This window comes from Homo sapiens, chromosome 13 (assembly GCF_000001405.40).
Source record: "Homo sapiens chromosome 13, GRCh38.p14 Primary Assembly".
Lineage (NCBI taxonomy): Eukaryota > Metazoa > Chordata > Mammalia > Primates > Hominidae > Homo > Homo sapiens.
This window is the reverse complement of record NC_000013.11, coordinates 28,018,330-28,044,166: the sequence shown is the minus strand read 5'-3', so window position 1 is coordinate 28,044,166 and position 25,837 is coordinate 28,018,330. Positions and strand designations below refer to the sequence as shown.

General features: G+C 45.3%; 1 protein-coding gene across 7 annotated transcripts in view, besides 2 other annotated features; it reads left to right on the top strand.

Annotated features, from left to right (window-relative positions):
- FLT3 (fms related receptor tyrosine kinase 3) overlaps positions 1-25,837 on the top strand; it is a 97,303-nt gene that overhangs the window by 56,410 nt on the left and 15,056 nt on the right. For 6 of the 7 annotated variants that reach the window (XM_017020486.2, NM_004119.3, XM_011535015.3 and 3 more), the window contains 11 exons: positions 6,879-6,982; positions 8,124-8,232; positions 8,494-8,672; positions 9,760-9,866; positions 9,953-10,085; positions 10,176-10,280; positions 15,879-15,989; positions 16,926-17,079; positions 19,224-19,306; positions 20,690-20,817; positions 25,578-25,700. In XM_017020486.2, coding sequence (XP_016875975.1) covers positions 6,879-6,982; positions 8,124-8,232; positions 8,494-8,672; positions 9,760-9,866; positions 9,953-10,085; positions 10,176-10,280; positions 15,879-15,989; positions 16,926-17,079; positions 19,224-19,306; positions 20,690-20,817; positions 25,578-25,700 — 1,336 coding nt within the window. Of the gene's footprint in view, positions 1-6,878; positions 6,983-8,123; positions 8,233-8,493; positions 8,673-9,759; positions 9,867-9,952; positions 10,086-10,175; positions 10,281-15,878; positions 15,990-16,925; positions 17,080-18,751; positions 18,884-19,223; positions 19,307-20,689; positions 20,818-25,577; positions 25,701-25,837 lie in introns of all 7 variants that reach the window. The other variant, NR_130706.2, reaches the window with a different exon arrangement.
- Positions 20,696-21,228: an enhancer, noted in NCBI's record as "H3K27ac-H3K4me1 hESC enhancer chr13:28597076-28597608 (GRCh37/hg19 assembly coordinates)". NCBI's record gives its function as "activates a minimal SCP1, AML or CMV promoter by ChIP-STARR-seq in primed H9 embryonic stem cells {active_cell/tissue: H9 hESC(primed)}" and the evidence as "EXISTENCE:reporter gene assay evidence [ECO:0000049][PMID:30033119]".
- Positions 21,229-21,762: an enhancer, noted in NCBI's record as "H3K27ac-H3K4me1 hESC enhancer chr13:28596542-28597075 (GRCh37/hg19 assembly coordinates)". NCBI's record gives its function as "activates a minimal SCP1, AML or CMV promoter by ChIP-STARR-seq in primed H9 embryonic stem cells {active_cell/tissue: H9 hESC(primed)}" and the evidence as "EXISTENCE:reporter gene assay evidence [ECO:0000049][PMID:30033119]".

The window sequence follows — 25,837 nt, the reverse complement described above, 5'->3', positions numbered from 1 at the left end:
CTTCTTTTTGCTTTTTTTTTTGAGACGGAGTCTCGCTCTGTCACCCAGGCTAGAGTGCAGTGGCGCAATCTTGGCTTACTGCAACCTCCTCCTCCTGGCGGAGGTGATTAAGTGATTCTCCTCTCGGTGGAGGTGAGTAAGTGATTCTCCTGCCTCAGCCTCTCGAGTAGCTGGGATTACAGGCATGCACCACCACACTCGGCTAATTTTTGTATTTTTAGTAGAGACGGGGTTTCACCATGTTGGCCAGGCTGGTCTCAAACTCCTGACCTCGTGATCTGCCCGCCTTGCCCTCCCAAAGTGCTGGGATTACAGCCGTGAACCACCTTTCCTGGCTTCTTTTTGCTTTTTAGAGTCAGGGTCTTGCTATATTGCCCAGGTTGGATTCTAACTCCTGGGCTCAAGTGATCCTCCCGCCTCAGCCTCCTGAGTAGCTGCAACTTGGCGTGTGCCACTGCACCCGTCTTTCCTTTTGACTTTTTATTATAGAAAGTTTCAAATTTACTAATAAGTTGAAATAATAGTGCATGAGCATTCTTTACCTACCACCTAGATTCAACAATTTAATTGAACCGAATTTGGTTTGTGAAGTACAGTATTTTAGTCATGTATCAAGATTTTATAGGCAAAGTGATACAATTTTTTAAAAATCTGTTACTGAAAGGCCCCTGTAATAACACTACCCCTGAAAAAACTTTGGTGTGGTCATGGTATGTGCACCAGAAATCTCTCGGCTTCCCCACTTTCATGGCTTCATTTCTCCAATTTACTTCCTCAAATATTACGCCAAAGTTTACTAGGGCTTGCCTTTATGTTTTATTAAATTATAACTTTCTAGCCGTCCTGGTGTCCTGGTCCTGATAAAGGTTTCCAGGATATTTCACCCATTAGTTTGTATAATTTCCTATCTCTACAGACTTAATTACAAATTCCAAATCTACCTTAGCTTTTTCCACTTTTATGGGAAAAAAAAAAAGGAATAGGACTGTTGTAATTACTTAGTAACCTCTTCTGAAACCTTCTCCTTAGCCTTGCCTAAGCCTGATGTTTTCCTTTTTCCTGAAATATTTAATTTTCCAACTCTGTGAATCTAAGTTTTGCCCACAGTAGGCACTAACCGAGTGCTTACGGGGTAAACAGCTGTGTGGTGGTCGTTTGGGTTCTGGGTGGTGAGCCAGGGTCCTGCTCAGAAGAACCACAAACTGAAAAGCAGGCTGTCACATACAATGAGTGACACACAATTGCAGAAGATTATGGAGCCTGGGAGAGGAGTTGTTTTTTTTTTTTTTCCTATTTTCTGAAGGAGTTGAGCCTTGAGCACAGACAGAAAGGAGGGAAAATGAGGGAAAAGTTTGAGTCTAGAGAAATACCAGCAGCTCCTACCTAAATGCCGTTCCCATTCACTTCTGCAGTTTGAGACAACATTCCTGGCTGCAGGTCTTCCCAAGACCCCACTCAGTTGTAAGTTATTAACCACATCTTAAGAAGCCATTCTGTGAGAATAAAAGATCCTTCTTTGAGCTCTTACCATGTGCAAAATCCTATAGGTGTATTACCTCATTTAACTCTCATAATCCCATTTTATGAAATGTGGAAATTGAGGCTAAATTACTTGCCCAATCACAGAAGGCAAAGCCAACACCCTTTATTCCTTCTTTTTCTGAAATTGCCTTAAAAAAACACATAATTCCACCTCCAGAGATAACATTGCAGACTTTTTCTATGTAAGCACCATGATAGAAACATACAATATGGATCTTTGTATAAACATGAAATAAGGTACCATTTGTAATCTGATTTTTCACTTAAAATATATCATGAGTATCTTTCTATATTAATAAGTATGTTGTTATATCTACCTTATTGCTGTAATGGCTGCATAGTATTCCACTTTTCAGAAATTTTTATTTTAACTAACTCCTGTTGATGGGCATCAACTTTACTTTTTTTTCTTTCTCTTTCTTTGACATTTTTATTTATTATTATTATTATTATTATTATTATTATTATTATTATTATTTCGGATGGAGGCTTGCCCTCTCACCCATGCTGGAGTGCAATGGTGCGATCTCGGCTCACTGCATCCTCCACCTCAAGCGATTCTCCTGCCTCAGCCTCCCGAATAGCTGGGATTACAGGCGTGTGCCACCGTGCCCAGCTAATTTTTTGTATCTTTAGTAGAGATGGAGTTTCACCATGTTGGCCAGGCTGATCTCGAACTCCTTACCTCAAGTGATCCTCCTCCTTTGGCCTCCCAAAGTGTTGGGATTGCAGGCGTGAGCCATCGTTCCCAGCCAAGAAACCCCTTTTCTTAGTTTTAATGAGAACGCATCTTCTTAGACACCGAGGTATTGTTTTACTGTAAACTCAAATGTCCTGACCTCCGTCTCCTGCCGGCTGGCCATTTGTAGAAAACCCCTAGGCGAAAGAGGAAGCTTTGCATCTCCCAATCAGCCTAATTAGTTAGTCCCCTTGGAATTCCCATGGGGTCAGGACACGGTTGTCATTGCAGTTGTCATTGTTTCCAGGGTTAACTGTCATAAGCATGAGGAAAGGCAGTTTAAAGCCATTGGATATTCAGTTTTGTGTTCCTGCTATTTATGTGACCAATTTCATACTTGGAGTTTGTTCAGAAGAGTGAAAAATGTTTCAAGTGCTATCTCTTCTAAACCATGGCAAACCACACTCTATTAAGACAGCACAAAAGACTGAGGAAGAAAAATGTTTACGAAACATTTTGCTTTGGTCTGCCTCATGATAAGTAATTGTACTGGTCATTTCTTTTTCCACTGAATTGACTGGTGTCTCTGACATGCTCTCTGGTGAGCCACACTGGCTTCATTACCTCCTCTCTTCTCCTTTTTCAGGGTCTTTGGCCATTGTCCAGAGAGAATTACACTTTCTCTCTTAGAAGCTCACGTCTTTCTTCTCTTGGGCCACTTCCACGCCAGCCTCTTCCACACTGCCTTCCTGAGGTCGGGCACTGGCATGGAGCTCTGTTTCCTCTTCTCCTCCCTAGGGTTGTAATCTGGCTTTCCCCCAATCTTTCTATTGTTTCCACTTCACCAGTGATTTCCTCCTTGTTGTCCAGAAATAGGTCAGGATAAGAAATTCCCCTTTTTGACTTCTTCAGCCTTCTTGTTAACAAAGCAAAAGAAGGTTAAACACCTTATTCAATGCTCAGCATTTTTTTTTTTTTTTTTGAGTCCGGGTCTTGCTCTGCTGCCTAGGCTGGAGTATAGTGGCTCCAGCAATTCCCCTACCTCGGCCTCCCAAGTAGCTGGGACCACAGGTGTGTGCCATCGCACCCAGCTAATTAAAAAAAAAAATTCTGTAGAGACAAGGTCTTGCCATGTTGCCCAGGCCGATCTCAAACTCCTGGGCTCAAGTATTGCACCCTCCTCGGCCTCTCAGAGTGCTGGGATTACAGATGTGAACCCCTGCACGCACCCAAAGGTCAACTTTTAACTGCCTGAAACTTTTGATAGGTCAGAGAGATGAATTCTCTTGTTCACAATACACAGTCAGAATTACCTTGGCTTACGAGTTCAGGGCACAGAACATTGGTGTCACACAAACGTGGGCTCAAAAGCTGCAATTACGCAGTGGCGTTTTGTGGATTTTTTTTGTAGAGATGGGATCTCAGTAGATTGCCAAGGCTGGTCTCAAACTTCTGGCCTCAAGCAGTCCACCCATCTCAGCCTCCCAAAGTGTTGGGATTACAGGTGTGTTTTGAGTCTTGGGGACCAACTGGGATTCTCTTCTCCCCTTTATCTTCTGTATCCAATCTAGCCCCTGCCATTTCTTTTTTTCTGGTGCCTCTAGGGTTTGCTCTTTTCTCTCCTTTCCCATTCTCCTCCATTAAACAACGCTCCCCTTGTCATGCTCCGAAACCTCAAATCTGAACTTTTACTTCTCCTATCACAGAAACTTCCCACACTCCAACTGCTTATTACCCCTCTACCTTCACCACCAAATTGTAAATTCTGTGAGAACAGAAACCCAATTTTTTGAATTTGCTGTTGTGTCCTCAATTTCCGTCACAAACAGGTTCTAACATTGACAGTTGAATGAAGGAATGAATGAACGAGTTCTTGGATTGCTACAACTGCCTTTAAACTTCCAGTAAACTTTTGCTGCCATCAGCAGGTGCATATAAAACACTCTTCATAGGCCAAGCCACCCTGACTCATACCTGTTATCCCAGCACTTTGGGAGGCCGAGGTGGGGAGGATGGCTTGAGGGCAGGAGTTTGAGACCAGCCTGGGCAACATAGTGAGACCCCATCTGTACAGAAAAATTACATAAAATAAAATTAAGGCTAGGTGCAGTGGCTCATGCCTGTAATCCCAGCACTTTTGGAGGCCAAGGAGAGAGGATCACATGAGGTCAGGAATTCAAGACGAGTCTGGCCAACATGGTGAACCCTGTCTCTATGAAAAATATAAAAATTAGCTGGCTGTGGTGGCGTGTGCCTGTAATCCCAGCTACTTGGGAGGCTGAGGCAGGAGAATTGCTTGAACCCAGGAGGCAGAGGTTGCAGTGAGCCAAGATCACGCCACTGAACTCCAGCCTGGGCGACAGAGTGAGACTCCATCTCAAAAAAAAAAAAAAAAAAGTTTTATTGCAATGCTCAGGGCAGTAAGCATTGTTGTAGAAAATAAGTAATTTGTATTTTTAAAATGCGTAATTCATCCCGGCACTTTGGGAGGCTGAGGTGGGTGGATCACTAGGTCAAGAGATCAAGATCATCCTGGCCAACATGGTGAAACCCCATCTCTACTAAAAATACAAAAAATTAGCCGGGCGTGGTGGCGGGCACCTGTAATCTCAGCTACTCAGGAGGCTGAGGCAGGAGAATCGCTTGAACCTGGGAGGCAGAGGTTGCAATAAGCCGAGATAGTGCCACTGCACTCCAACCTGGGTGACAGAGTGAGACTCCATATCAATAAATAAATAAAGTAAGTAAATACAATACTGTTCATGATATTCTGCTCCCATGAGAGGCTTGCCGTTCCTCCTCACTGCAGCCCTATGACTTCCCGTCTGGCGCCTTCAGTCGCTGCTTTGTCTCCTCCTTGGATGCCTTTTCTTTTGTCCTCTCATCAAAACCAACTCATCCGTGAGGCTCCAGCTCGAGCTCTACCTCCTCTATGAAGGCCCCGAACCTTTCCCACCGACACAGACCTCTGCCTTCTTTGATCATCTGCTGGACTTCAGTTTAATGCTTTAATGATTCCACTTGTATGGGTCCTGTCTATCCACCCGGTTTAGGTATCTTTGAAGATAGGAGCTACCTACTTTTTAGGTCTTTTGCATCCTCCACACTCCTCATCTAAAGCTGCGTCCACTCTGACTCACCTTCCTAACCTGCCAGGCAGGGTCTTTTTGTTTTTTAAACTTTAAGTAGGCTAGGCTGGGCGCAGTGGCTCATGCATGTAATCCCAGCGCTTTGGGAGTCTGAGGCAGGCAGATCACAAGGTCAGGAGATCGAGACCATCCTGGCTAACACGGTGAACCCCTGTCTCTACTAAAAAATATAAAAAATTAGCCGGGCGTGGTGGCAGGAGCCTGTAGTCCCAGCTACTCCGGAGGCTGAGGCAGGAGAGTGGTGGGAACCCGGGAGGCAGAGCTTGCAGTGAGCCGAGATAGCGCCACTGCACTCCAGCCTGGGAGACAGAGCGAGACTCTGTCTCAAGAAAAAAAAAAAAAAACTTTCAGTAGGCTATGTGGAGGTCGAGTTAGATATCTTCGGTACAAGCCTTAGATTTCTTTTTCTGTTTTAAGGGAATTTTTTTCTTTTTCTCCAATTTTGTTACTGTGAGTGCACGAAGGCATATTCAACAACTCATTGCTGCCCTGCCTCTCCTGCACCATCCAACATCTCACTGCAGTATCCAGCAACCCACAGGCCTGCTGGGCGTGGTGGACAGTCCCCAAGATCAGGTTATCTGTGTCAAAATATTGAGTGGTTGATGAGTGCTCCAAGTAGGCACTAGAGCCTGCTGAGAGCACTCAGAGGTTTCTGCACAAGCTCAGTGGATTTGAGCCCTCATCGTTGTTCATTGCTATGTAAGTCAAGGGTTGGTCATAGGTCCTGCCTTGGACTGTCATTTCAGGAAGCAGGGCAGCTACAGCAGCAGTCCCCAACGTTTTTGGCACCAAGGATCCATTTTGTGGAAGACAATTTTTCCATAGATTGGGGGTAGGGGGATGGTTTCGGGATGAAACTGTTCTATCTCAGATCATCGGGGATTAGATTCTCTTAAGGAACGCACAACCTAGATCCCTGGCGTGTGCAATTCACAGTGGGGTTTCCGCTCCTGTGGGAATCTAATCCCTCTGCTGATCTGACAGGAAGCGGTAAAGCTCTCTTGCCTGCTGCTCACTTCCTGCTGTGTGGCCCCTTTCCTAATAGGCCATGGACAGTTACCAGTCTAGAGGCTGGGGGGCTGGGGACCTCTGAACTACAGGCTTCTCCACCTGCACAAGTTCTGAGAAGTTAGACTATCCAGAGCAAGAGGGGCAGGAACTTCCTGGTCTCACTGAGAATCTTCGGCCAATCCCAACTCCCAATGGGCATATGACTCACATGGTGATCATCTTAAAATGCAGATTCTGAGTCAGTGATTTGGAAGGGACCTGAAATCTTGCAATTGTAACAAGCTCCCAGATGATACCAATGGCGATGTTGATGCTGCCTGTCTGTGGACCACACTTTGAGTAGCAAGGGTCTACAATATGGACATTTCCTTTTCCAGTGAACTTTAGCAAGTGAGGAGCATTTCAAGGAAGACACCTCCCATGCACACTGTCATTAGTTGCAGCATCTCCTGTAGCAATTGGGCTAAATCTGTCTTTAATTCTTTTTCAAACAGCATATCCAAGTTTTGCAATCATAAGCACCAGCCAGGAGAATATATATTCCATGCAGAAAATGATGATGCCCAATTTACCAAAATGTTCACGCTGAATATAAGAAGTAAGTTAAATTGCCGAGAATTTGATTTTTATTTTTTAATTCCTTAATTTTTTATTAGTCTTAACTAGGAAAAGTTAAGTAATGGCTTAGAAGGGCTACTACAAAACTGTTTTTGTACGCTGAAGTGTTTTGAAACTTTACTCTCATATCTACTGGCATTGATCATATATCTTTTTATTTTTTATGTTATTTTGTTCTGTTTCATTTTTAAGACCAGGTCTCACTCTACCACGCAGGCTGGGGTGCCATGGCACAATCATAGATCCCTGTAGCTTCAAACTCCTGGGCTCAAGTGATCCTCCTAAGCCTCCCGAGTAGCTGGGACTACAGGCACGCGCCACCATGCTCAGCTAATTTTAAAACCATTTTTGTAGAGAGGGGGCCTCCCTTTGTTGCCCAGGTTGGTCTCAAACTCCTGGCCTTAAGGGATCCTCATACCTTGGCCTCCCAAAGTGCTAGGATTACAGGCGAGAGCCACTGCACCTGGCCATATATCTCTTTCTGTGTGTATCATCAGAAGCTGAAAGACTTATTTCACATTGTCTCTGAATATGAATTAGTGTTATGACTTTATTGATTTTAGTATTTTGAAAGGTCATGTTAAGGAAAGGCTGAAAGTCATTTTATCTCTCATTTATTTGTTTTTAATAATTTTCATTTCTTTGGCTTATAAAACAATGAGAAGTCCAACTTCTCCTGAAGCTAAGAATCATTTTAAGGCATGCAAACAGGTGGAGGTCTGTACCTCAGCTCTCTCCAGGGAGAGGCTGGCAATGGAAAAATGGTGTGTAGCAGAGAGGTTGCATGGCAAGGAGGTTGCATGGCAAGGAGGAAAGAAGAAATTACCAGAGGTCTGGAGGCATCCTAAATGAGAAATCCTCCCAGAAGCACAAACTGCCCTGGAGTAAATGGGTAGCCTGTACTGTAGGCAACTTTGAAACTATTTCCAGAAAGTACCATACTCCAAGAGCTTATTTTATTTTATTATTTTCAGAGACAGGGTCTTGCTGTGTTGCCCAGGCTGGTCTTGAACTCCTTGGCCCAAGTGATCCTCCCACCTTGGCTTCACAAAGTATTGGTATTATAGGAGTGAACCACTATGCCCAGCCAGTGAGCTTATTTCACACGTTCTTTTCTATAGGGAAACCTCAAGTGCTCGCAGAAGCATCGGCAAGTCAGGCGTCCTGTTTCTCGGATGGATACCCATTACCATCTTGGACCTGGAAGAAGTGTTCAGACAAGTCTCCCAAGTAATAAGGACATTGATGCCTCTTATAATGGAAGAACATAAAACTCTCTGACCTATTGACTCTTTCATGAATACAGTTTAAGAGGAAATGATGAAATATTTAAAATGCTAACCTTCTCAATCAACCATAACTCTCAATAGTCATAGACTGTTTCTGATAACTTATACTGGATGAATCTCTTTTAGAACTCGCTGCAGAAATCCTAACTTCCAATCTGATGACAGCTCACCTGTCTAAATTCTTTGCTATTTTTTTTTTCAGCTGCACAGAAGAGATCACAGAAGGAGTCTGGAATAGAAAGGCTAACAGAAAAGTGTTTGGACAGTGGGTGTCGAGCAGTACTCTAAACATGAGTGAAGCCATAAAAGGGTTCCTGGTCAAGTGCTGTGCATACAATTCCCTTGGCACATCTTGTGAGACGATCCTTTTAAACTCTCCAGGTACAACAGTTGTTCTTGTGATATTCCACCATCAGGAATTCCCCACTAGAAGTTAGTCCCCATCGCTGACTTTTACTTGGGGAATTTTACAGGAGAGTATAGGGTCAGTGTGTGAGAAAAGGTTTCTTGAGTCAGGCAAGAATCCCCAGAGAGACTGTTTCACAGGTTGGGGCGGAGTCCTCCCTGTGCCCTTGTGACTCATGTGTCACAGTGACCGGGAGAAGCAGAAACTCCCAGTGTGGTGAATCTCCATGGAAAGATCTAACTCTAGAGAAACAGATTTTGTCACTTGGAGTCTCTGTCATTTTCCCTTTTGATTAGCCTCCTTATTTGCCCTCAGCTTGCTGTTTTATAATTTTTGGTTTGCTTTTTAGAGCCCTCCTAAGTTAAACAGTTGTGAAACCTGGCTGCCCACCCTAGTAGTTAGGATCACCAACCTCACAAAACTGACTTCTCCACTTTCATGTGCGACCTTCATAAAAGGGATATGAACTTCTTTTTTCTCTGACTTGTACATCCTGTAGGTTTAAATCCATGCATTTTTTTTTTTGAGATGGAGACTCGCTCTGTCACCCAGGCTGCAGTGCAGTGGCGTGATCTTGGCTCACCTCTGCCAGGGTTCAAGCGATTCTCCTGCCTCAGCCTCCCGAGCAGCTGGGATTACAGGCACCTGCCACCACGCCCAGCTAATTTTTGAATTTTTTTAGAGACGGGATTTCACTGTGTTGCCTGGGCTGGTGTCTAATTCTTGGACTCAAGTGATCCTCCCATCTTGGCCTCCCAAAGTGCTGGGACTACAGGCGTGAGCCATCGTGCCTGGACCAGATGTAATTCTTGTAAATTTACCCTAGTAAATGGTTTTAAAGAATGGATTGAGAATAATCCGCAATTTTCTAGGGAGGAAATGTATCCTTTACAGGGACATTGCCTGATTGTCTGTGGGGAGTAGAGTATATGTAGAGTGGTTGTTAGGACTGAAAATGATTATTACTGAAACAGGATGTGAGAGATTATAATGAGTTGTCCACTATTTATAATGTCACACAGGAATTCTGTTTCATCGCTGAGTGACACTCTTTTGTTGCAGGCCCCTTCCCTTTCATCCAAGACAACATCTCATTCTATGCAACAATTGGTGTTTGTCTCCTCTTCATTGTCGTTTTAACCCTGCTAATTTGTCACAAGTACAAAAAGGTAAAAGCAAAGGTAAAAATTCATTATTCTTTCCTCTATCTGCAGAACTGCCTATTCCTAACTGACTCATCATTTCATCTCTGAAGCAATTTAGGTATGAAAGCCAGCTACAGATGGTACAGGTGACCGGCTCCTCAGATAATGAGTACTTCTACGTTGATTTCAGAGAATATGAATATGATCTCAAATGGGAGTTTCCAAGAGAAAATTTAGAGTTTGGTAAGAATGGAATGTGCCAAATGTTTCTGCAGCATTTCTTTTCCATTGGAAAATCTTTAAAATGCACGTACTCACCATTTGTCTTTGCAGGGAAGGTACTAGGATCAGGTGCTTTTGGAAAAGTGATGAACGCAACAGCTTATGGAATTAGCAAAACAGGAGTCTCAATCCAGGTTGCCGTCAAAATGCTGAAAGGTACAGTATAGTGGAAGGACAGCAACAAAGATGCACAAAAATGGGAGGCACAGTTTCCCACCCATGCCTTCTTCTCTTTTCCATCCTTTTAATGGTTACTGTTTGCCATGTTTCAAGGCTAAAAATGGAGTGGATTGGGGTGTCAACCCAGTCATGAATACAAAATTCAAGTCATAAATACAAAACTCCACCTCTTCTTCCACTTCTCTCTTTGTTTATTTTTATTTTCTTTTATTTTTTTGAGACAGGGTCTCACTCTGTCACCTAGGCTGGAGTACAGTAGTGTGATCATGGCTCACTGCAGCCTCCACCCCCTGGGCTCAGGCTCCTCAGCAGCTGGGGCTACAGGCGTGCACCACCACGCTCAGCTAAGTTTTTTATTTTTGGTAGAGACGGGGTTTCACCATGTTGCCTAGGCTGATCTGGGACTCCTGAGCTCAAACTATCTGCCCGCCTCGGCCTCCCAAAGTGTTGGGATTACAGGCGTGAGCCACTGTGCCAGGCCTATTTAGTTTTTATAGGCTTTGATATTTGGGGATACAGTTGCCACAGGCAGAAGTTCTTTCTTACATTTGTGTTGTTTTATTTTTAGAGACAGGATCTTGCTCTGTTACCCAGGCTAGAGTGCTGTGATCATAGCTCACTGCAGCCTCGACCTCCTTGGCTCTAGCAATGCTCTCACCTCAGCCTCACAGGAGTGTGCCAAGACAATTGGCTAATTTTTTTTTTTTTTTGTAGATACGGTGTCTCACCATATTGCCCAGGATGGTTGCAAACTCCTGGCTCAAGTGAGGCTGCCTTGGCCTCCTAAAGTGCTGGGATTACAGGTGTGGGTTGAAACAGACTCTGGGTAGGAGAGAAAACTGGGGCCCTTTGTATCCTCACTTCGTTGCTCCATCCATTCCGATCTGGCGTCCAGCCCCATTGCTGGCCTCACCGTTACCACCGCTGACCCAGCAAAAGCATCTCCAGCTGGCTCTCTTGCTAAGGTCAACAGTGACTTCAAACCAAACCAAGCCTAATGGATATTTTTCAGTCCTCATTACTTGATTGTTCAGCATGAATTGATGCTGTTGATTCTTCTCTCCATCCAGAAGCTTTCTTTCTTTGGGTTTTGTGTCACCATATTCTGGTTTTCCTCCCACCCCTCTGCCCTTCTCAGTCCTTTGTGGGCTCATCTTCTTCCATCCAGCTTTTGTTGTTGTGGCTGATTTTGAAACTCAGTCCTTTGTGGGCTCATCTTCTTCCATCCAGCTTTTGTTGTTGTGGCTGATTTTGAAACACAGCCTTGCTCTGTTGCCCAGGCTGGAGTGCAGTGGTGTGATCTCAGCTCACTGCAACCTCCACTTCCCAGGCTCAAGCCATCCTCCCACTTCAGGCCCCTGAGTAGGGGGGACTACAGGCATGCGCCACCATGCCTGGCTAATTTTTGTATTTTTGGTAGAGATGGGGCTTCGCCATGTTGCCCAGGCTCCATCCAGCTTTTTATGGGGCATCCCTGTGGGCTTGCTCCTGGACCGCCTTGCGTTTTCGCTCCACACACTCAACACAGTCCATCCCCACTACACCCGTGATGTCCTCCCATACACCAAGGGCCCTCATGCTTGCGTCTCCTTTCGGAGCTTCAGGTTCATATGTTAAATGTTTGGATGTCTCAAAGGTCCCTTTAACACAGTGTATGCAAGGTGAATTCCCCTAACCCTGGCCCTGCACCAGCAGTCCTCTCTGTGACTGGTAATGAATGCCAGTGAATAAATAACCACATTCTATATAGTTGGGCACACTAGAAACCCGTGACTTTTCCTTGACACCTTCCTCTTTCTAACACCCTGTGAGCTAATCCTATCAGGTTTCCGATTAGTGTCTCTTGATTCCATCCTCGTCCCTCCATCTCTATGACCACCACTCTAGTTCAAGGCTCTCTCCTGGACAAAAGCTTCCAAAGCAGGTTCCTGTATCCACTCTTGCCTCCCTTTGGCTTCTCCATACTGAGGTCCAAGTGACAGTGGCGAAAGGCTAAGCAGATCAAATGGCTTTCCTACTTCACATTTCCTCCACCACCCGCATGGCTGGGCCACCGCTGCCTCCCCACCTCTTGCTCTCGGCACCCCAGAGCGCTGGCCTTCTTTCAGTTCCCCCAGCACTGTCCTCCCACCCACTGTGGGGCCTTTGCACAAGTGGATCCTTCTGCTTCCCCTTCCCCTTTCATGTAAGTATCTCCCACTGCCCCCTCAGATCTCAGCTTAAACACCACTTCCTCTGTCTCACACCACAGACAATATTGAGGCCCTTGCAATGTGCGACATTAGCTCTCTGCAGGCTTTCCCCCGTAGAATCCATCACCTTTGTCATGACATTTTTTAACATCCAATTGTTGTCCCATCTGTCCAGTAGCCCCTGTGCCTCATGAGGGCAGGGTCTGTGTCTGTGGTGCTGTGCTCTCTCCTTTCTCGACCTTTGCCCACTCTTTCACAACCCTCAGCACTGTTCTCCTCCCCTTCCACCATGAGTCACCTGGCCAGCTCCCATTTTTCTTCAGGACTCAGTTTAGACATTGAATGCTCCTTTCTCCACCCCTCCAAGGCTAAGGTAGCTATCCCTTTTGACCCTACAGTACCCCTGCACTCCTTTGCCACGTTGCATTTTTTCTTCTTTTTTTGAGACGGAGTCTCACTCTGTCGCCCAGGCTGGAGTGCAGTGGCACCATCTCAGCTCACTGTAAGCTCCGCCTCCTGGGTTCACGCCATTCTCCTGCCTCAGCCTCCCTAGCAGCTGGGACTACAGGCACCCACCACCACGCCCGGCTAAATTTTTTTGTATTTTTAGTAGAGACAGAGTTTCACCGTGTTAGCCAGGATGGTCTTGATCTCCTGACCTCGTGATCCGCCTGTCTCAGCCTCCCAAAGTGCTGGGATTACAGGCATGAGCCACCGTGCCCAGCCCAACGTTGCATTTTTTCTTTTTCTTTCTTTTTTCTTTTTTTGAGATAGGGTCTCACTCTGTCACCCAGGCTGGAGTGCAGTGAAGTCATCATAGCTCACGGCAAGCTTCAAGTCCTGGGCTCAAGTGATGGTCTGCAGCCTTTCCAGTAACTGGAACTACATGCAGGCACCACCAAGCCCAGCTAATTTTTATTTTATTTTATTTTATTTATTTATGTATTTTTACTTTATTTTATTTTTAAGTAGAGACAAGCTCTTGCTATTTTGCCCGGGCCTTTCTTGAACTTCTGGGTACCAGCAATTCTCCCGCTTGTCTCAGCCTCCCAAGATGTTGGGATTAGAGGCGCGGGGACCCACGTCTTGCCTGCCGTATTGCATTTATGGCACTGTATTGTCATGGCTTATTTACTTCTCTGCCTTCTCCAGGAGACTCTAAGATCCAGGAAGACAAGGGTTGTGTCTTGTTTTTCCTTCATTCCCCAGTGTCTAGGACATTGGCTCTTACAGAGTAGGCACTCAATAAATACTTGTTGAATGACTGAATGAAAGAGGTAATGGTACATGAAAATGCTTAGAAGAAGCTAAGCATGCTAAAAAATGTAAGATATTATTTTAGCCATGAGGAATAGGACATGAACAAGTAAAGCCCCGAATCCCTGTCCAGCGTGAAGCTGAAGACATGATGTATTAGGGGGTCCCAGTGCCCACAGGAAATCCCACCCCCAAGCTAAAATCTTGGAAACAAGGATACCCCTGAGAGCTTGCCCAAACCAAAATAGAGGATGTCAGCACCGGAGAAGCCACTATAAAGGTTAGGATGCCTTCCTGGACAAAATAATGGAACCTGGCAATCGAACCAAATCTTCACTGAATGTAAAGAAGAGTTACTATATCTGGAAGAAAAAGTCTGTTCACAGAGGGGTGGTGCCTGGAGCCTGGAGAGGGAAGTCCAGAGACCCTGCCCTTGCCCCTGTGGCTGCCCGGGCTGCCCTGACCAACTGCACATGAGCCGCAATGACGGGAGCCCTTGGATTCCATAGTGACTTTCCTCACACTGTGCTTCTAAGTCAGCTTATAAGTACAGTTTGCTGAGCTATCTGGAATTTTCCCTAGAGAGAGAATGCATTGGCCAACCAATATGTTCTAGCCTGCTTGGCAGTTTTATTTCTCAATGTCAATTAATGGGTCTCTTGAGCACCTGATAGTGGGAATTAGTCCTCTTTGACCTTCTCCCATTGGACTTGCTGGCAAATCTAATGTTCTAGACCTGAGGGCCACAGGCTAGAGTCAACCATGCTCACGACACTGTTATCTCTCTCTGACTACAACAGATCCAAGAGTTCAAACAAACAAACAAAAAGGACGTTTCTCCCTTCTGTTAACTTGTACTGAGGAGGAAAAGCATGTGTTATTATTTTGTTTGTTTGTTTTGAGGGCCAACTGTAAGGATTTTTATTTTGGTAGGTAGAGGAAAGTCCTGTTGAAAGGTGCATTACCAGATTCAACATTTATACTATAGTCTTTGTTTTGTTTTGTTTTGTTTTGTTTTTGAGACAGAGTCTCGCTCTGTCACCCAGGCTGGAGTGGTGCAGGGGCTCAATCTCGGCTCACTGCAACCTCTGCCTCCCCAGTTCAAGGGATTCTTTTGCCTCATCCTCCTGAGTAGCTGGAATTACAGGTACGCACCGGCACGCCCGGCTAATTTTTTGTATGTTTAGTAGAGACAGGGTTTCACCATGTTGGCCAGGTTGGTCTTCAACTCCTGACCTTAAGTGATCCACCCGCCTTGGCCTCCCAAAGTGTTGGGATTACAGGTGTGAGCCACTGCGCCCAGCCCTATACTACAGTCTGAATTCTGCCTTAGGCTGGGCATGGTGGCTCATGCCTGTATTCCCAGCACTTTGGGAGGCGGAGTTGGGAGGATTGCTTGAATCTAGGAGTTCAAGACCAGCCTGGGCAACATGGTGAGACCCCATCTCTACAAAAAATATAAAAATTAGCTGGGCATGATGGCCTGTGCTTGTAGTACCAGTAACTTGGAGGGCTGAGGTAGGAGGATCACTTGAGCCCAGGAGGCAGAGGCTACAGTAAGCTGAGATCATGTCACTACACTCCAGCCTGGGTGACAGAGTGAGATACTGTGTCAAAAAAAAAGAAAGAAAGAAAAGGAAAAAAAAAAAAGAAAAAGGAGAAATTCTGTCTTAAAACACAGGATATTGTTTGTTTGTTTATTTATTTATTTATTTTAAGATGGAGTTTCACTCTTGTTGCCCAGGCTGGAGTGCAATGGTGCAGTCTCAGCTAATTGCAACCTCTGCCTCCCACATTCAAGCGATTCTCCTGCCTCATCCTCCCAAGTAGCTGGGATTACAGGTGCCTGCCACCACGCCTGGCTAATTTTTGTATTTTTAGTAGAGACGAGGTTTCACCATATTGGCCAGGCCAGTCTTGAACTTCTGACCTCAAGTGATCCACCCACCTCGGCCTCCCAAAGTGCTGGGATTACAGGCATGACCCACCATGCCTGGCTTCTCTCATAATTTTGAATTTAAATAAATAATGCAGATTGACTCTGAGCTGAGAAAAATTTTATTTAATGACATAAAATTCGTATTTTACTTGAGTTTTACATTTTTAATGCTCCTTTCTTTGACAGAAAAAGCAGACAGCTCTGAAAGAGAGGCACTCATGTCAGAACTCAAGATGATGACCCAGCTGGGAAGCCACGAGAATATTGTGAACCTGCTGGGGGCGTGCACACTGTCAGGTAACCCACTTCCACGAAAATCACCTCATCAAAAAGACTGTAGCTTGATGACAAAGAGGATGTTTGCTCTCTCTCTCTCTCTCTCTCTTTTTAATTCTTTGTCTTTTCTCAGTCACAGTGTGAACTCTCAAACCCAAGTGGAATTAGACACTGAGCACTCTATAAATCAGAGGGGTCAAAATAAAGAATGCCTCATTCATCTGCTTTATCGTGATATATTGCATAATTCTCACCTGCTTAAAAACAACAACAACAACAACATTGCAAGTACATTTGGTGGTGTCTGTGCTTCTCTCCCAGCTTGGAAGCTGGTGCACAGGCGTGGTGAGAGTGGTTACAGAGCCTGGCCACTGCCCCAGTTGGGCTGCCGTCAAATACGGCACAGCCTAGCTAGGATATCAGACTTTACTTTCCCAGAATTCTCTGGGGCATGCCCTCTGATCTTCTCTCTTCTGCCTAGAAATACCCAAATGATGTGCCCAAGGTTCATTCTTTCTGCAGCAGCAGGCCTGGGGCTGGTACTAAAAGAAAGGAAAAAGAGGAAAGTGAATCTGAGAGAGGACTGGGAATATATTTCTCCCTCCTCAAGCAAACAGCAAATCAGCATATAGTTACCAAGTGTTCACCTATAATACACAGCTAGAACATTACTTTCAGTTGCCAACTGGAGAATCCAGGAGGCCAGTGGTATTGGTGAGGCCACACATACAAAAAAGGGCCACAGAGAATGTCAAGAAGATGCTGCTTTCCAAAGAAATTTGAGCAAAAGCTGAAACTGAATTTAAAGTATAAGAAGAGCTAGGCTCAGAAAAAGTTGTACTGTCCCCAAGTCAGCAGAGAACCAAGCCCTCCTAAGAGTATGTTGTCTGCTACATAGACTTCTGAAATAACAGTTTGCTTTGTGTATGCCTATAATTGAAACTGTAACTATTTCAGGACCAATTTACTTGATTTTTGAATACTGTTGCTATGGTGATCTTCTCAACTATCTAAGAAGTAAAAGAGAAAAATTTCACAGGACTTGGACAGAGATTTTCAAGGAACACAATTTCAGTTTTTACCCCACTTTCCAATCACATCCAAATTCCAGGTAAGAGGCTGGGTCAGGGTTTCGTAATTACACATCATAGAACGTAGGCAAAGTGTGCTGTTCAAACACACTTCGTTGACCAGTTTCTAAAGGCACCGTGAAGTCTGTGGGTCCTGCAACCTAGAGATTTCCTGAATCTTTGCTATAGTTTCCCTGTTGACATGGAACGAGTCCTGTCCCTTTCCTTCAGTACAGGTACTATAGCTGAGCTAGTCTCTCTCCACCCATGCCTGCATCACACCATAGACGCCTATTTGGTTTGGGGAAAGGTGCATTATTCGGTCTTTCAGGACACCTGGTTGCCTCACAGGTATTGGTAGAAAGAATGAAGACTTTTTCCAAAGTCCTTAACATATGCAAAGAGAGCAGCTCGGGTCCTGGGACTATTGCGCAAAAGAACGCTGAACTCAAATTGGATTCTAAGATATTAGGATGGATTGATCGACACGTGATGGGGACACAGTAAAGTAGCAGTAACCTTGTCTCTGCTCTGTGTTTATCCTCCGCATCCATGGGGATCCTGAGAGATGCTTGGTCCTGCAGGGATTTATTGCTTTAGCGGGCATAAATGAGGGCTGTAGGAGTTTGCTGGATCTCCTCCTCATCCTTGAACTTTCTTGCTAATTACTTGAGCATCATGGCTTTGTAGCACCTTTCTCTGAATGGATTCCCAGGCATTCTGATGGAGGCATTCGTTGAGCCTTGGAGCATTCTTTTTTTTTTTTTTTTTTTTTTCAGACAGAGTTTCGCTCTGTTGCCTAGGCTGGAGTGGTGCAATGGTGTGATCTCGGCTCACTGCAACCTCCACATCCCAGGTTCAAGCGATTCTCTTGCCTCAGCCTCCCGAGTAGCTGAGATTACAGGCATGTGCCACCACGCCCAGCTAATTTTGTATTTTTAGTGGAGACAGGGTTTCACCATGTTGGTCAGGCTGGTGTTGAACTCCTGACCTCAGTTGATCCACCCACCTAGGCCCCGCAAAGTGCTGGAATTATAGGCATGAGCCACCGCACCTGGCTGAGCCTTGGCGCGTTCTTATTTCCCTCCCTGTATGGAAGTTCTCCCTTATTCTGAAGGGTATTTGTTTATTGGAGACTTTTTTCTTTACCAGGGGCTTTTTAGGGATACATTTGAGAGTCCCGGCTTTGTTTTCTTAGAATGTAAGTTTTAAGTGCAGGCCTCTGGCCTTCCAGGTCTGAGACACAGACCCAGTGTCTTAAAGCCACCAGGCCCCACGGAGATCCCCATGCACGTCCGTGTGCAGCTGCCCTTAACCTATGCATGCCCGTCACACCGTCCTCTCCTTTACACTCATTTCCCAGCTCATCGTCTAGAAATGAGAACTCTATAAAGCCACTCATATTCTGGAACAGAGGGGCTATCCTACTGAGTCCGATGTGTGTGACCAGTATCCACTGGTCAGTACTTAGCCCCTTTGATTCGTTCTGTTCACTGGAATATTAAATACACTGAAATTATTCCTTTTGGAATATTTGTGGTCTGAAAGCATGAAGCCATTTCCTAAAGATATGTAAATTGTAAATTGGGTTAAACTCGTATATTAGAATAAATTGAATCGTGATCTACTTATAATTCCTACAGAGCTCCTCAGGGAAGAATTTTTATATACCTTAAAAGAGATTTGTATTATTGCTATTTATTAATTTCACAGTAAAAAGAAATGAGCTTTACAAAGGCAAACTGGAAAAAAGAAGGATGGTGAAACGCTTACGGGACTCTCGGGAAGATCTGTATTATGTGAGGGAAAGTGGGCTGAGTTCAGAAACCAAAGAATGAGATCGATGTGAGTCCTGGTTCCACTCGAATCATATTTATCTCACTGTGCCTAATTTCTCTTTTATAAAATGCCACCCATCTCATAGGTTGTGGCAAGGATTGAGTGAGGTCCTTTTTGAACTGTAAGATTCTATATGGAAAACAGGGATTACTTTTATCTTAGACTGGCAAGCCCAGTTACACAGATGTTTTTAATGTACACAAAAAATGGACAAATGGATGGTGTGCTTTTAATTTAAAAGTCAATTTATAACTGGAATCCATTTATTTGATGAATTACATTTTTAAAATAAAATGTCTGCTGAGAAGAATAATGTAAATAATGAAAAAACAAAATTTTTTAATAGCATGCCTGGTTCAAGAGAAGTTCAGATACACCCGGACTCGGATCAAATCTCAGGGCTTCATGGGAATTCATTTCACTCTGAAGGTAATATTTTATTCTAAGTAGTAGCACTTTAAAATGGAAATGAATGCAAAAGTTTTATGTTAGCTATTTTTTAAAAGTGTGTAAACACAAAAGCATTTTAAAATTTGCTAATTGTCAGATGATAGCTAAAAGCCAGTTTGTATACTGTAGATTTTATGTCAACATTCAACTAATAAACACTGAGGACTATTTTATTTGGTCAGATTATTCATTTAAAGTCATATATTAATTACAGCCATCTTATTACCTGACAAGTGGAAGAGATAATGAGTTCCGAAGTTACATAGAATTTGGATTAACTTCTGCTTACTTTGCTTTCTGACTGGATGACTTTGGACAAGTTATGTGACCACCAGAATCACAATTTTCTTGTTTATAAAATAGGCCTAACACTACCTTCCTCACAGGACTGTTAGAAGGAGTAAATGAGGGGCTGGCCGTGGTGGCTCACGCCTGTAATCACGCCTTGGGAGGCCGAGGCAGGCAGGTCACCTGAGGTCAGGAGTTCAAGACCAGCCTGGCCCAACATGGAGAAACCTTGTCTCTACTAAAAATACAAAAATTAGCTGGGTATGGTGGTGCACGCCTGCAATCCCAGCTACTTGGGAGGCTGAGGCAGGAGGATTGCTTGAACCCAAGAGGCAGAGGTTGCAGTGAGCTGAGATTGCACCACTGCATTCCAACCTGGGCAACAGAGTGAGACTTCAACTCAAAAAAAAAAAAGAAAGAAAGAAAAAAAAAGGAAGGAGTAAATGGAAGAATATAAAATGCACAATATAGTTTATAAAATAGGATAGATGGGCCGGGCACAGTGGCTCATGCCTGTAATCCCACCACTTTGGGAGGCTCAGGTGGGTGGATCACGAGGTCAGGAGATCAAGACCATCCTGGCTAACACGGTGAAACCCTTCTCTACTAAAAATACAAAAAATTAGCATGAGCCTGTAGTCCCAGCTACTCGGGAAGCTGAGGCAGGAGAATCCAGTTGCAGCAGGCCAAGATCGTGTCACTGCACTCCAGCCTGGGCGACAGAGCGAGACTCCTTCTCAAAAAAAAAAGGGATAGACAATTAATATTAATTCCTTTCCCACTGTGACAGCCCTACCTAGTGCAAAAGAGAAGTATCTAAAACTCCTGACTAATCAATCAGGAGGTCATCGGTCATCAAAGCAGTTCCAAAGTTTATCTCTAACCAAAACAAGTCTCCAGTGACCCTTCATAGGCAGCATAAACAGGTCATCTCTAATGCTGCCGGGAAGATAATGCGATAGCTTCATGTCTTAGCACCTCACCTAACTCTGGCTTGAATAACCTTCCCATAGAGATTTAATAAGGCAACTTCTTAGAGTTTTGGCAAAAGTGAAGACTGGCTCTATTTTACAGATGAAATTGAATATGAAAACCAAAAAAGGCTGGAAGAAGAGGAGGACTTGAATGTGCTTACATTTGAAGATCTTCTTTGCTTTGCATATCAAGTTGCCAAAGGAATGGAATTTCTGGAATTTAAGTCGGTATGCTCCTTTTAAAGAAAAAACAAACCAAAAAAAAGATTTGAAAAGATGTGCTTATATATGTTTTCTTGTTTATTTTAACTTGTATCCCTTAAAGTCTGCCTTTTCTCCCCTGTTCACTGTTGGAGTCACCTAGCGTGTTACCTTGGCTCTTGGCTAATTGTAGTAGCATAAAGGCCTGGGATCCCTTGTGAGGTCACGGCTAGCACAGCCCTCCCAGGCTGCACAAAGTCCCCTGAAACTTCCAAGGCTGAAGGTCGAGATAGGAAGTCCTCAGAAATCCTTCCTCAAAACAAAGCGTAGCATTGTCAGTCCCTTTCAGAACGGCTGTTCAGGTTGTGCCCTGCATGTGGGCATTCAACCCAGGGGATGAGAGGAGGCTGAAACCGAGCCAGCCACCCTGAGTGTCTTTGTCTAATTCTCACCCTGCGTGCTGTGGGCTGGCAGCAGTCCTGCAGGCTCACTGCCTCCTCTGTTGCTAACCCCAGATCCATTCGTTGGTAAGGCCCTGGAGCCTGCCGTGAACCATGTCTCTACCCCAATTTTGCACTCTTTTTGAACTGCCTTTCCACCCGCTGTTCTCTGTGATTTCAAATGTCTCCTGCCTATAAGCAGATCATAGCCCACTCTCTGGCTACCTTCCTTCCTCGTTTGCTTGCCTTTCATTACCTTCTCTTTATTTCCCAAAATTCTTCCCCCTCATTTTTCTTGCAGTCTTCTAATCTCCTCCTCCTCTTCTCCTCCACTTCCTTCCCCTTGCCTCTTCTCTCCTGTTTTCTCTCTGAATTTGGAAAGACTACTTTCAATTGTATTTTTTTGTTTTGTTTTGTTTTGTTTTTGGAGACAGTCTCGCTCTGTTGCCCAGGCTGGAGTGCAGTGGCGTGATCTTGGCTCACTACAACCTCTGCTTCCTGGGTTCAAGCAATTCTCATGCCTCGGCCTTCCGTGTAGCTGGGACCACGGGTGCATACCAGCATGCCTGGCTAATTTTTTGTATTTTAATAGAGATGGGAATTCACCATGTTGCCCAGGCTGGTCTTGAAATCCTGAGCTCAAGCAATCCACCTGCCTCAGCCTCCCAAAGTGCTGGGATTACAGGCGTGAGCCACCACACTCGGCCTTTTTTCTTTAAAAAATTACTGCCTCAGCCAGATGTTCATGGTGTGTGTCTGCAGTTCCAGCTACTTGGGAGGCCAAGGTGGGAGGATTGCTTGAGCCCAGGAGTTGGAAACTGCAGTGAGCTAGGATCGCACCACTGCACTCCATCCTGGGTGACAGAGCAAGTCTCTTTCTCTAAAAAATAAAAAATAGGCAGCCGGGCGTGGTAGCTCACGCCTGTAATCCCAACACTTTGGGAGGCCGAGGTGGGTGAATCACGAGGTCAGGAGATCGAGACCATCCTGGCCAACACGGTGAAACCCCGTCTCTATACAAAAAAAATTAGCCGAGTGTGGTGGCGGGCGCCTGTAGTCCCAGCTACTTGGGAGGCTGAGGCAGGAGAATGGCATGAACCTGGGAGGCGGAGCTTGCAGTGAGCCAAGATGGCGCCACTGCACTCCAGCCTGGGCGACAGAGTGAGACTCTGTCTCAAAAAAAAAAAAATTAATTAAAAATAAATAAATAGGCTGGGCACAGTGGTGTACGTCTGTAATCCCAGTGCTTTTGGAGGGAAGCCCAAGAGTTCCAGGCTGCAATGAGCTATGACTATAGCACTGCCCTCCAGTCTGTCTATTCAAAATAATAATGAAATAAGCTTAAAAGCAATAATAATACAAGTTTTAAAAAATTACTGTCACAGTAATATTTCCACACCTCTGAACTGCGAGGCACATTTTTCTCTTCATTTTCCCCACCTGCTGTTTGGATTCTTCTTGCTCGCGCATCTTGCCCACCTGAGTCTTTCTCTATTTCACTTATACAACTACAATCCTGCTTTCACAAGCATTTTGTTTTTGTTTTTGAGACAATGTCTTGCTCTGTTGCCCAGGCTGGAGTGCAGGGGTGTGATCTCAGCTCACTGCATCCTCTGCCTCCCAGGTTCAAGCGATCCTCCTGCCTTGGCTTCCCAAGTAGCTGGGGTTACAGGTGTGCACCACCACACCTGGCTAATTTTTTTGTATTTTTGTAGGGATAAGGTTTTGCTATGTTGGTCAGACTGGTCTCAAACTCCTGACTCAAGTGATTTGCCCGCCTCGGCTTCCCAAAGTGCTGGGATTACAGGCGTGAGCCACTGTACCTGGCCCACGAACATCTTTATAGAGGTGGGAGAACACCTACTTAGATTGTCTGGCCTGGTTTGCTGCCCATAGCTAAGTAAATACTCAAACTACTCCCAACTGGCAGTCAAGGGGCACTGCTTCCCCTTCAACCCCAGGCTTGTAATAATATGAATTTTTGAAGAACATCCAGTTTCTTAGGCCTTCTATCCTTTTATCTTCACATCAGGCCTCCCCTTTGAATCATGCGTGTCACTGTCCCCTTCTTGTCTCTCACCCCCTCCCTGATATTCCTCTGGGTGCCCCTCAGTTTCCTCTGTAGGCCCTTGACTTCATCAAACATTTGTTGAGCCCCAGCTACATGCCAAGCACTGTACTAGATGCTGGAGATACAGAGTCAGTTATGATATGACTCCTGGGCTCGAAGATCTTATGAATGATAGGGGAGACAGAGACAAGCAGACATGCAAGTCGAAGATGACACTGAGGCCGGGGGTGGGTGGCTCAGGCCTGTAGTCCCAGCACTTTGGGAGGTTGAGACGGTGGATTGCTTGAGGCCAAGAGTTCAAGACCAGCCTGGCCAACATGGCAAAACCCCATCTCTACTAAGAATAGAAAAACAGCCAGGCACGGTGGTGTACGCCTATAATCCCAGCTACTTAGGAGGCTGAGGCATGAGAATCGCTTGAATTGGGAGGCAGAGGTTGCAGTGAGCAGAGATTGTACCGCTGCACTCCAGCCTGGGTGACAGAGTGAGACTTTCTCAAAAAATAAAAATAAAAAATTTTAAAAAGTTTAAAAAAGACAACACTGTAGCATGATAAGTGTTGTGACTGAAGTAAGTTCTGGGAACCCAGGGGAGGGATCTGCACAGCAGACCTGGTTGGGGGAAGGGGAGATGCAGTGGAAGAGGCTTTCTGAGGGAGTGCGTGCTTCATGCTTGGACTAATGGAGATTTTTGAAGGAAAAGGAAAACCAGCAGGGAATGTGGGATAGGATAGGAAGCATGGAATCAGGAGGAGTTTTTTTTGGAGAAAGGTAATGAGTTGGACATACTGAATGTGAGGTGCCTTGAGCAACCAAGTAGAGCGTGGTCTAGCAGACACTTGGACACTTCTCCTGTCTGAAGCTCAAGAGAAATGTTTGGGTTGGAAATAGGGATGTGGGCAATGGTGGTTGCATCCCTAGGTTTGGATGAAATGGCTTGGGTGAGGGTGTGGGTTGTGAGGATGCAGCCCTCAGGAGTGAGAGTAGGCTCGTGCACAAAGCCCCTGAGGGAGACAGGAGCCGGCAGAGCAGTGGGGAGAAAGCAGGAGTGAACCATGCGCAGGGTTCCCAGAGGGAGGACCAGAAGCGGGAGGGGCTGGCCAACAGCAGCAGACACCACAGGGAGGTCCCGTCAGATCGAGACTGTGTGGGTGCCAAGCCAGTCAGTGCAGGCCTCGGCCAGAGCAGCTTGGGCAGACAGGCAGGAGGAGGAGGCAGGTTGCAGACCTGGGGTAAAGTGGGCAAAGTGCAGGTAGATGGCACTGAAAAAACTGGGTATGGAGGAGGGAGCTCTAGAGGGGCTGTGGCACAGGGCTGCCAGTGTTCATGGTGCTGCTTTTTATTTTTTAAAGATGAAAGAGTGTACATTGGACCTTTGCTACTAGTGCCCTGTTCCCCTTCAGATCTTCCTTTGTAAAGTTCATTTTCTTGTCAGACCCCTTTGATTAACATCACGACATCTTTCAGCTCAGGGACTCCTTCTAATTCCAGTTCAGTAAACCTCTCCAAACTCATTTTTAGCTTTTTGTTTTTCCGATTATTTCCCTCGATATTACTCCATTTATTCCTAAAGCTATTTTCCAGTCAGAAAAGAGATGCTGGCCAGGCGCGGTGGCTCACGCCTGCAATCCCAGCATTTTGGGAGGCCGAGGTGGGTGGATCACCTGAGGTCAGGAGTTCGAGACCAGCCTGACCAACATGGCGAAACGCCGTCTCTACTAAAAACACAAAATTAGCTGGGCCTGGTGGCGCGTGCCTGTAATCCCAGCAACTCGGGAGGCTGAGGCAGGAGAATTGCTTGAACCTGGGACGCAGAGGTTGCAGTGAGCCGAGATCACGCCATTGCACTCCAGCCTGGGGAACAAGAGTGAAACTCCGTCTCAAAAAAAAAAAAAAAAGAAAAGAGATGCTATTTCTCACACCCACAATAAGAGTACTGGAGGACAGCTCTGAGATTCCCTCTGAAGGCTCAGGGGAGGGCCCCTGTTGGGGAGCCTCTCACTTTTGCTCGGAATCTGCAAAAGATCTGCTCCTCTTTGGCCTCTGGGGATGCTTCAGAAGCCGCACAAAGAACTGCAGCCACCATAGCTGCAGAATTAGGTCTCCTATATTCACTTTGTTTGTTGCACATCATCATGGCCGCTCACGGCACAGCCCAGTAAAGATAAGAGGCCTTCCATCACCGGTACCTCCTACTGAAGTTGAGTCTAGAAGAAAGATTGCACTCCAGGATAATACACATCACAGTAAATAACACTCTGGTGTCATTCTTGACAGTGTGTTCACAGAGACCTGGCCGCCAGGAACGTGCTTGTCACCCACGGGAAAGTGGTGAAGATATGTGACTTTGGATTGGCTCGAGATATCATGAGTGATTCCAACTATGTTGTCAGGGGCAATGTGAGGCTGCTATTTCCTACTTATTTTTATACGGCTATTTTGTGTTGTGTCGTTATCATGGTAAACAACTGCACTCACTGTGGTGCATTTTTGATTTATGGTAACATCAAAAAACCCTCACAGCAGTCTGCTTACTT